The sequence below is a fragment of the Homo sapiens genome, chromosome X (assembly GCF_000001405.40).
Source record: "Homo sapiens chromosome X, GRCh38.p14 Primary Assembly".
In the NCBI taxonomy this organism is placed as follows: domain Eukaryota; kingdom Metazoa; phylum Chordata; class Mammalia; order Primates; family Hominidae; genus Homo; species Homo sapiens.
In genome coordinates, this window is record NC_000023.11 from 139,196,798 (window position 1) to 139,208,386 (window position 11,589).

At 46.8% G+C, this 11,589-nt stretch overlaps 1 protein-coding gene across 3 annotated transcripts in view; it reads right to left on the reverse strand.

Annotated features, from left to right (window-relative positions):
* Nucleotides 1-8,226, reverse strand: part of FGF13 (fibroblast growth factor 13) — a 590,297-nt gene extending 582,071 nt beyond the window's left edge. For all 3 annotated transcript variants that reach the window (NM_001139498.2, NM_001139500.2, NM_001139501.2), the window contains exons 1-2: nt 8,124-8,226; nt 7,262-7,474 (exon numbers count right to left, since the gene is read on the reverse strand). In NM_001139498.2, coding sequence (NP_001132970.1) covers nt 7,262-7,310 — 49 coding nt within the window. In that variant the 5' untranslated portion in view covers nt 7,311-7,474; nt 8,124-8,226. The remainder of the gene's footprint in view (nt 1-7,261; nt 7,475-8,123) is intronic.
* Between the last annotated feature and the right edge of the window lie 3,363 nt (nt 8,227-11,589).

Below are 11,589 nucleotides of genomic sequence, written 5' to 3' on the forward strand. Positions count from 1 at the left end.
ATTCATTCTCCATACATTGAATGTCCATACATTGTTATGAAGATTTCATGAGATATTTCATGTCAACTCCCTGGCCTATAGTCAGTGCTCAGAAAATACTATTTTTAGGACACCAGTCAAAATTATTTCTGCCACGTATCTAGGTGTTGGAAAGTCAACCATTAACTATTGAATTCTTTGAGTGAAAGCTCTACCCCAGGCAATCTTTAGATAGAATGTAAATATCCCTAGGTATTTGTCAGATTAAGCCACCAGGAGGCTCTGAAAAAGTCTTTCTCTATCACAGTGCCTTCTGATATGACAACAAAACAGGAAGTGAGCAGGGCATAGGACCGATGAGTTTTCATAGGTGCATGGCATATGCATTCATCATTTATTGATTACTACAAGGCCAAGCACCGTGTTAGTAATTTGCAAACCACTAGTGGTGTGACTTCATATAAGCTACATGATCTCCATGAACTTCAATTTTCTCATCTCTAAAGTCTGTATGTACTAAGAGCTACTGTACTTCATTTGGCTGTCAGGATTAAATTAGATATATGTAAAAATAATGTTTGCCTAGTAAATAGTAACTGCTCAATAATTTAGAGGCTACTATTATAAAGACAGCAATGTTCATTATTGTTATTTGCTATTAAAGGATGAATGAAACATACCTCTGCTTAAAGGATTTCCCTATCTTTCCCAGGTCATTCAACAACTACTCCTAGAAGACTAACCATGTCTAAGATTCTATTGAATGCCCCAGTGTGGGGCACGGTGGGAGTCTTCCAAGAAACCAGAGGACAAGACAAGAAGGGTTATCAACAGGGGATGAAGAGTGTTGGATGGGGAGGTGGCTAGGTGTGTCAGAAACCAAAGAGTGCATACAGGAAAAACTAATAGATGATGATAGAAATAAAAATAGGAGGCCAGGTGCAGTGGCTCACGCCTGTAATCCCAGCACTTTGGGAGGCCGAGGCGGGTGGATCGTTTGAGGTCAGGAGTTCAAGACCAGCTTGGCCAACATGGTGAAACCCCATCTCTACTAAAAATACAAAAAATTGGCCGGGCGGTGGTGGCGTGTGCCTGTAATCCCAGCTACTAGGAAGGCTGGGGCAGGAGAATCACTTGAACCTGGGAGGCGGAGGTTGCAGTGAGCGGAGATTGTGCCACTGCACTCCAGTCTGGGTGACAGATTGAGACCCTACCTCAAAAAAAAAAAAAAAAAAAAAAAAAGAATAAAATAAGAGTTGTCTTTAGGTGAGGGGAATGACTAGAAAAGGGCATGAAAGAACTTTCTGGGGTGACAAGAATGTTCTGTATCTTGACTTTGGTGTTGATTTTACGGATGTAAATATTTCTCAAAAATCATTGAGATGCACACTTAAGATCTGTACATGTTACTACAGGTAAATTTCAATTACAAAAAAAGGAAATTGAGTTTTACTGTTTTTCTTTTCTAATTTGGCCTTTGACTGGCCTGCCTTTCACCAGAAGATTCTTTTCTTTCTTCCCAGCCCTACTTACAGGAACCACAAAATAAAGGACAGACATATACAACTAGGGATTCCTTTAGGCCAAAGAGTGATTGTCCAGACCAAATCTGATGTCTCTGCAGGCAGGCCAAGCAAGCAACTTAGCTCTGGACAGCCCTACTGTACTCCCTAGAATGTCAACCACAACCCTACACCAGCAGAAGCCTTTGCCTGTGGGGAAGGTCATTAGCCCGTGACACTAGTACTATTTCTATTTGAAAATCAATGCTAAAAGTAATTTCAAAGGGCAGAGGCAAGATCAGCCATGAGAACTGCTTTACAGTAATCACAATAAACAGTCATTGTAATTTAGACTTAATATTTATTACAACTCAGATCCCTTAATAGTCCTTCATATATCCATTGTGCCCTAAGAATCAAGAATTTATTTCTTTTCTAATAACCCCTCCCCCACCATTTTCAGAATTAATACTCTGGAAAACACTGCTTTAAAGGAAAAAAATGGCCATCCAATTCAAGGAGAAATCGGATCTAAGGCCTGGAGTGGTGGTCATAATGACTACTAAATATTATTTCACTTCTTTAGGAAATTAATGCATTTACCGGGAAACCCACACTCTTAGGAAATGTTTCATCAATATATGACATTCAAAAAAGTGATAAAATGCCATGTTAAAAAATGTCAGAAATAAGATTCAACTAAGTTTGTAGAGCTGGTATATTACAAATAGATAACCTACATTTCAAGTTGATGAAAACTAACTAAGATGACCCACATTACACAGGACAATGAGCCTGAAATCCACTCTTCAGCCTGTGCTGATATATCATGGTGATGATGTGTCTTCTTGATAGGGAAACATAAATCAGTGACTGCAGAAAATGAGTTATGCAGACATTTGTGTTCTGTACTAATTGCTAAAACTATATTATGTGCCTAGTCTTCACATTTCAAAGATAATGTTTAGCTGAGCAAGGTAATAGACATGTAGGATCCCCTTCATCTACTCTAATGCACATGGTTTTTCCCCCCTCCTTCAATTGCTTAATCTTGACAATTATTGTCCATTCTTTTCAAATTTCTCAACTCCAAAAATATAAGTCATACTGAAGCAGACACTAGAAAGCCTTTTTATTGGATATATTTGAAGAACTGCAACACATTCTGGTTGTTCTATGTTGATTGTAATTCCCAGAATAAGAAGTTGATTTGGACATAAAACAGCACAGCTGCAAAGAGACCTGGAACGCTGTTTCATATCCTTACTTACCGCCTTACAAATCAGCCCTCTGGCTTATCCAATTCTGATTCAAATTCTCTCCCTGATTCCAATTCTCTCCCCAGTCCTGACCCTGTCCTCAAAGCCACCCATAAAATCTCCCTGCTGTGGGCATAGACCTCAACTCCTTCCTTCGCCCCACAGCTCACCCTCTGCTTCTTACCCAGGCCCCAATTCAACATCCATTCCCACTCCAACCTCACCCACATCTCCAGACCTAGGACACATACTAAGCCCTTTAAATTATTTGAACTGTGCTGAAAAGAGGCTTAGAGGAAGCAGTACTAAGCTAGAGAAAAGATACAGTACCCCTAACCCATGCCTCAACTTGCTCCCCCTTCTAGCTTTAGCCTTTGTCAATAAAGAAGCTACACGCTGCTACAAATAATTATGAAGAGGATTTGGGTATAATGTGCACTCATTTTCTCCACCTATCCCCAAGAACAGACCAATATTTCTGATTAGAGATCTCCCTGGTCACACCTCCTTAGCAAGGCTATGATCACCTCCTTCAGCACAGAAAAGACCGTGTGGCTTATGACACTGTATGTAAAACCATGGGACCATGATGTCAGAGTGAAAAAAACAAGTCCCTACATGAGTAATAGACAGATGATCACTGTTACTTCTTAATAAGAGGTCACCAACCTCATAATTTCTTGTCGGTAAAATACCTCTAAACATCTGCTTTTGCCTGGCCCAAGTCTGAGAAAGACACTTGATGAAACCTATTATAGTAAACCACAATGATCAAGATGATCTTTTGGAAGGCATTCAGGACTCAAGCCTAGATATGCTGGCTGCATGACCACAGTGACCTGTCCTTCTTCAGTAGGATAGGATAGAAAGACTATTGGAAAGGGCCAGGAAGTGAACAAAAAACGAACTGTGGTGTAAATGCATGGGGCCACTACTACCCATTACAACAGCAGCTGTACAAGTGGCTGGCTTCTTGGGCTATGCATGGAATTGTCCTCCATTGTCCAGCAGCCAGCATGAGCCCAGCCTGACAACAGTGCTGTCTCACCAAGAGAACCCACAGCCCACAGAGCCTTGAAACTTGCCTGGATATGGTGGCTGTTAAGCTAAGCACAAAGGAAAGGGTTGTTGAAAAGAACACACCCAACTCCAAACATGTAGCCACAAACCTAAAGACAGTTTTGAAAGCGAGAATTAGCTAGCATTTTTACTTAATCCAAAAAAGATTTGGTTTTATCTATAGCAGCCTACAAGATTTCCGATGCCACAGGAAAACTGTTGCAACAAACCAGAAACAGCCTTAACTGAGTGCTTTTCCAACAGAAGACTGCTGAAAAGATCTTATGTGACAAGGTAGAGAAGAGTGAGTCAAAGCTAAGAGAATATCTGCTTGAACAAACAAATATTATGCTTTCTTCTTCCCTGAAATGGAAACAGATCCTCCGGTCCAAGAGCCGCGTGACTCAAACTATATACACATCTGCCAATTTTAAAGTTTATACAAAGCATAAATAAATACACAAAAGGCGACTGGCTGCACAAGAGGCCTTTTTAATAGTTTCAAACAGAATCAAGGTCCCCGCCCCCTTTCCAAACAGAACAGCCTATCTTGTCTGGCTACATTTTTGAAAAGGTTATGAAAAAGATCAGTGTCCATCACTGGTCTTAACCTCAGTGAGTTGAAGAAAATGTCATTTAAAAAGACAATCAGCAATTTATGTACTCTTAAGGCCATATTTCATTCAGCAGCACAAAATAATTTACTGGAAACCTACTACCTGTGCTTTAAAAGCTCTGGAAACACTGTACTCTATAATAATTGATGTAGTTATGATACACTGTGGGTATGAGCCCTAACTGATGGGGGTGGGAGGCTGAATTTAAATGAGCAGTAGACTCTGAAAACAGATTATGAAATTCATTCAAACTGTTACTAAATTATTTGATTTCATCCAATCATCTGTCACACCATTGTTCAAAATTAAATGTGTGTATATTCAAGGTATCTATGAAATGCTTGATCCTATATCTTGCTATGTTACAAAGAATATGCCAATTAGTTTTTCAGCTTAAAAAAATTAAAGATGACCTATATATAGGAAATTTGTAAGTAAGGAAAACTCTTCAGAAATATGGTCAACATATATAAACTCTATTGATTAAAAGATAAGTAGACCTTGTACCTTTCATCTCTAATATAAAAAGTAGTCTTTAAAATTTGGTCACATAAGACTTTTCATATACTTGAAAGAAGAAAATACTAATGGCTACTACACACTTAATATTTTGAAAATGCTCTAAATTCAACAACGAACAGAAAGGCTGAAATGGCAATCTTGCTCTTAGCAGCCAAAAGCTTCCCATCTTCTCGGGGAAGTAAACTCCCTTCTTAAAAGTTGCCTTGTAAAATTAATTTATTCTAATTACAGCCATAATTTCAAGTGCTAATTACTCAATTCCTACAGAGGTATGTGGTTTCAAATGTGGTGAGTCAACACAAGAAAATGTTATGACACATGCCTAGTACAAATTTGTATTATTGAATTACAGAAACCTGTCCTGTTTCCAGATGCGTTAATCCATTCTGGACAACTGCAAATTATAAACAGAACAGAAACTCATTTTCTGTGAATGAATTTGGTTTCAGGGTCTCCCAACGGTAGCCTGAAATAAACCTGAAGTAACCACCTGATGGAAATCAGGAACCAAAGTTCCAGAAACAAACGAGAAATACTCCCAGATTCAACAGGGGAATGACGTGCCTAGATCAATCTGGTGCTACATTCTTTAATTACATTTACTTCTCTGGGCCCTCAGTGGAAAACAAAACGATTTAATGACCCTGAAGTCATTTTCCTTTATCATATAAATGCCTGTTTGAGACTCAACAATTAGGGGAGCTCTGGAAACCTACAGCTGTCGTTCTACTTTCCAAAGTTACTCTTTCACTTGGGATTGAATGCTAGCCTTGAGCCAGACCGGGGGCAACAATGACCCGTATGACAACGGATCTAACCCCTCCACAAACTTCCGGAACCTTCAGTCACCCTTTCGCCTATTTGGGGGAGAAATGGCTCCACTTAGAAACAAGGATAAAGGCCTTGAGCTGAAGACTTTGACAACTTTCCGCGGGGGAGGGCTGGTGCTGCCCTAGAATCTCCCGGGAAAGAAAGCTCTGAGAGATGGGGAGAGGCGAGAAGGAGGAGAGGAGAACAAGGAATAGAGAAAGGAGTGGGAGTGAAGGGGGCCTGAGGGCTCAGGAAGGAACTGGGGCCCCCATGAACAAAAGCTGGGACTCCCTGCGCTGCAACCTCACTTCTGCAGTGGGGACTCGGCGTGGGTCGCTGCGGTCCAGTGTGCTTGGGGCCCTCAGGGCTAGTCCAGCCCACTCCAGCGTCTGCTCCGTGGCCATTCGGACACTTGCACCTAAGGCACCTGCTGTTCCCCACTGCTCTTCCATATTCCCTCTCTGTGCCTCTCCGCACCCCGGTCTCCAAGGCTGCTGTCTCCAGTTTACATTCTGGAGCTAATCCCGGTCCTGAGAAAGGCAACGGCTAGAACCGGCAAAGGGTGGGGGGGCGTCCCCTGCCTTTGCCTTAGTTCTCCCCAGCCTGAGCACCGCTTTGCTGCGCCTCCCCAACCCGCCGATGGGAGGCCCTGGGCAGAGGCGCGCACTCCAGGGGGACCAGTGGTCGGGTGCCCCGGGCGCGGTGGCTGAACCCCAGCAAACAGAGGAAGAGGACTGCCCCCTCCCGCGGAGGCCCACTCACGCTGGGCACTAGTGACAAGGGGACATCAGCCTTTGTTCTCCTGGGGCTTGGCGAGGCTGCGCTGCCAAAGCGCAGCGCGGGCGGCGCCAGGGCACCAGGGTTGCTCACCTTTGCACGCGGCGTGTCGAAGGGTGCAAACTCCTGCCTTCCCGGAGGGTTGGGGTGGATAAGGAGTTTAGGATTAGGAGGTGTCGGGTGGCGGGGGGGGGGAAGGAGGTGGTGGGAAAGGAGGGGGGAGGGGTTCTGCGTCTCGACCAGGCTCTTTGTTTGCATTGGGGGCGGGGAGAGGGGGCTGAAGGTGGGTTCAAGCTTGGGTTCTGACAGCAGGGCAGATTCCTGAGTATGTCACCATGTTGCACGCGCGCAGCACACATATGCACACTCGCGCACACGCACACACATGCACTCATACAGACAGGCGGCCGGCTGTCAGCAGACAGCGCGGTTCCCGGCGCTCCAGGCTGCAGCAGCTTCGTCTGCCCGCAGCGCCACCACCGTGCGTCCAGAGGGGAAGTGGAGGAGGCTGGAGGCACTCGAGGGTCGACAATTCCGCGAGGAAGGAGGGAAAGTGGTGCAAACCTAGATCCACCCCCTAGCGACCTCTGCCCCCCCTTTTCTCCCGGGGTCGCAGAGGTCATGGGCAGCTTAGGCTCCGGGAAGGAGGCAAGGAGCCGCCGGAGGGCGGCGCGCACGCGAGGGGGCGAGGGAAACGAAGGAAAGGAAAGCAGGCGGACTCGGCGGGCGGGCTTACCCTTAGAAGCATCTTTCTCCTCTTTGGGCTTGGTCACCTTTCCACTCATAGATCCCAGCTTGCTTGACAAGGTTCGCTCAGAAGACGGAAGTCCTCGCCGAGCGGGTCGGACTTGGGAGAGTGCTTAGGGCGGCAAGTCTCGACCACGAGCTCCCCTCGGTGTGGTTCGGGGCGGAATCCGCTTTTCCCCACCGCTGCCGCCGCCGCCGCTGCCTACGAGAGAGTGGGGAGGAAAGGAAAGGGGTGAAGGAGGAGCCGCCGTCGCCGCCGCCGCCGCCGCGATCCCGAGCGGCCGGCCGCGGGAGGAGCCGCTCGCCGCGCTCAAGAAGTGAAGAGACAAAGCGGCGCGGCGCTTCCTCCGCGCCCCGCGCCCTCAGCTTCTGCCCGCCTGCGGAGAGCCACGCTCGCAACCCCCGGGGCGGCCGAGAGGAGCGGCCGGGACTCCCCGGCTTCACTGCCGGCCTCCCTGGGCTCCGCGCGGGCCGCTCGCTGGGAGTTGCCTGGGTGGGCTGCCCGCGCACTGGCAGGCTGCTTTCCCCCGCCTCTCCCAATCCGCTGCGGGCCGCCAACTCGATCAAAATAAAACCCCGAGGAAGGCTTTTTAAAAAATCAAAACAAAGATAAAAATATTCACTTAAAAATAACAAGCCTCCCTGAAAGGGAAATGTTTGAACATGTGATGAGCAACGTGTGAGCCTGTTACACCGCAGAGTCGCGCAGCTTCTCGCCCGCGGGGAATGGGGAGGAGAGGGTCGCCTCTTTTCTTTCTTTCTATTTAATCCATTTCCAGGTTCCTATTATTTTGCCAAAAAGGGGGCCGGAGTTGCTCGCCGGCGGAGGAGTGGGAGACGATGGCCCTTACCTGCTCTCTTTCTCTCTCTCCCTACACCCACACCCCCTCGGAGCTCGCCCGCTCCCTCGCTCGCGCTCTCCTTCCAAAGAACTCTCCGGTCCTAGAGAGCCACGAATCAACACCGCGGCGCATTCTATATAAACGGCAAGGTGTGGGCACGCGGAGGGTGGGGGCTGGCGAAGGCGGGGCCTCACAAAGCCGCCTGCCCGCTGTAGTAAAAGGAGAGCTCGGCAGGGGCGCGCCGACGTCAGCCGCCGGTTGGCAAAACCCCGGCGAGCCCCGCGTAGTGCGGGCGAGCGTGTCTGCTGGGCGTACCCTGGCCCCTCCGGGGCAGGGAGGGCCCGCGGGTGCCACTGTAGCGGGCTCCCACCGTTGGCCAAGGAGATGGAAGGCCGGCGCTCCCCCCACCCCGGCCCCTGTAACTCCTCTACTCCTAGCGCCTGCTTTCCCAGGCCCGTGCTGGTCGCCACCTACACTTTGGGGACTCCCCTGTTGGCAACTGCTCGCACCGAGCAGTGGAATCTCAGTCCGGGAGTCGACGACTTTTCGCTTCTGGCTAGCTGCTCAAGTTGAGACAGTCCGGCTCTCAGTGGGGAGAGAAGGGCTCTCTGGGATCTGGGTGTCAGTAGGTCAGAGAGTGAAACTGACCGCGGCGGCTGCCACCTCCCACCCCCACCCCCACACGCAGGCCCCTCCTCCTAGGGCTGGTCGCTCTTGTTGGTAAACTGGAAGCAAAGAGTGCCCACCGCCCAGGATGGCCAATCCCAGGCAAACGGGTGAGGTGGGACTGGGGGCGAGTGCTGAAGAGGAATAAGTAGGATTGAAACGTTGCCTGAGGAATACTTGTGACAAAACCCAGAGAAGGTCCCTGAAGATTAGAACTAGAAGGAAAACTGCTCAAGAATTGTTCTACAGAGGGCAGATGAGGAAGGAAAGAGAGAGAGAGAGAGAGAGAGAAAGAGAGAGAGAGAAAGAGAGAAAGAAAGAAAGAAAGGAAGAGAGAGAGAGAAAGAAAGAAAGAAAGAAAGAAAGAAAGAAAGAAAGAAAGAAAGAAAGAAAAGAGAGAAGGAGGGAGGGAGGGAAAGAAGAGAGAAAGAAAGAAAGAAAAAGAAAGAAAGAAAGAAAGAAAGAAAGAGAAATAAAGAAAAAGAAAGAGAAAGAAGGAAAAGAAAAAGGGAGAGAAAAGGAAGGAAGGGAGGGAGGGAAGGGAAGGGAAGGGAAGGGAAGGGAAGAAAATGAACGAACTAGGGAAGGAGGGTGAGATAGTAGTCAGGAAATAGCCCCTGGGGCGTCCTGGAAAACCTTTTCTGCGATGGCCTTTTTTTTGTGCATGCGAGTCCCTGGTAGCCTCGCGCTCTGTTGAGGGACTGGGGTGGTGACTAGCAGGACTTGGTCCTCAGAACAGTCCATTAATCAGACCTTAGGCTTCATCCTGGCCATGAAGGCGCGGTAGCGACTCCCATGCAGAAAATTCGTTTTCCCTCGTCCTACTCAGCTCCACCCCCTTCTTAATTCGGTTTTGTTAATGGCATTAAACCAGGCGAAGAAATCATATAGATGGATTAGTCTTACTGCATCCCAGGCGGTAACTCAATTACAAGAGCCTGCTGTGGCTTTCAAGACCAGGAGTGTGGGCTGCCCCTGCTCCCAGTCCAGGTCTAAAGGTCGGCAACCCTCTAAACTCAATTTGCAGCCTCCATCCTCAGTCTGAGAGGAACTCCAGGCCCATTTTTCTTGTAAATAATATCTAATAATCTGAGGCTTGATGACACGATGTGATTATCCAAGCCAATGTTAGACCATTAGTTCATATCAGTTGTCTGGGAAGGAAAACATTTCTCTTCAAATGATCGAATTCAAAAGGGTTGGAGGTTTAGATGGGTTTAGAGGAAAGGTCGAGGGGAAGGGGAGTCCTACCCCAAATCTCAGCATTATGCAGTATACCCATGTGATGAACCTGCACATGCACTTCCTGAATCTAAAATAAAAGTCAACATTTTTTAAATAATAACAATTTATACCCCAAAACAGTAAACATCAATTTAGCACCTAACCTGTGCCAAGCAGCATGCTAAATGCTTTTACATCATTATCTTATTCCATCTTCACAACAACCCCAAGGACGTGTTGGTTTTGTTATTTTCGTTTCACAAATGAGGAAAATGAAGCTCAGAGAGGTAAAGTAACTTGCCAGGAGGTCACACAGCTGGTACATGGTGCAGCATGGATCACAAAGATGGGCAGCAGGCTAGGATGCCAGGTGGGTCTGTCTCTAAAACCAGTGATCATCTGTTATACCACGTGGTCTCTCAAAACTCCTAGCAGCCTCTTAAAGAGAGGTGGGAGGCACATTTTCACTGGTCCTGTCTGCCAATTCTAAACTCCTAGGTCTTTTAAAACTTCCCTAGCTCAGCACATTCAATCAAAAGCATACACACACATACTCCTCCGTTGTGTACATACCATTTAATTTGTCCACATCCCTCCAGTAAGCAACAATACCTTATTTTGGGAAAAGGGTCAGTTTCTGTCTTGGAAGATATCAAGCATGGCATTGATGTGGACACTGGGTGTCTCAGCTTTCCTGCCACGTTAAGATTTCCAGGAAAGTTCTCTCCACAGATAAGACCCCTCTCTAAGCCCTATCAACAATGACACCTCTAGCAAGGGTAACTTCCAACTGGAAGCTAGATATCATTCTGTTCCTTAAAGGAGACTAATCTTCAATATATGACTAAACCTAGGTTAGTTAATATGATCAAGGTGAGTTGAGATGTCTGCTTTGGAAAATTAGTGGAGTCTGTCTGTCCATGAACACAAACAGGTAAAATACAGTGTTTTGCTTCACTGTAAACCACCTTGGAAAGGAAATATCAGAAGATAAAGGAAATACACACTTCATGCAAGAACAGTATGGTGGTTTGTGTCCATACAGAGACAAATCAATGACATCATAAGGACACTCATGTCAGAGACCAAGGATTATGAATAGTCAAGTGCAGGGACAAACATTCTTATCTAAACCAAGCTTCTGAAGATTCTGCTAAAGAGGTCACTGGCAGCTTGTTCTGTGAAAGGAATGGGGGACTTTCTCTCTTCAAAGCCCCATGACAAATTTAGTATGAAAAAAGTGTTGTTGCAATTGACTCAGAAAAAGGCATGGTCCAGTGTCCAGCCCCCAAGCTACTTGGTAATGCAGGATGGTCAGCTGGAAGATCTGACATCTGTGTGAGGATGGTCCGTAGGTCTTTTCCTGCCACCAAAGGGACTCAGTCTTCAAGCATCTCAAGGAAGACCTGGCTGAGCTTATAGTACTTCCCCTTTCCCACCCAGCCTTTCCCACACAGATCCATCTCCCTCATCCCACTGTAGTGGAAGTACGTTCAGTTTTCAGTGTAGCAATTTGCACTTAACTGGTCACTTCACCTCTCTGTGCCTTGTCACTTTGGTAAAATGTGTCCCATCCTGTCTCTGC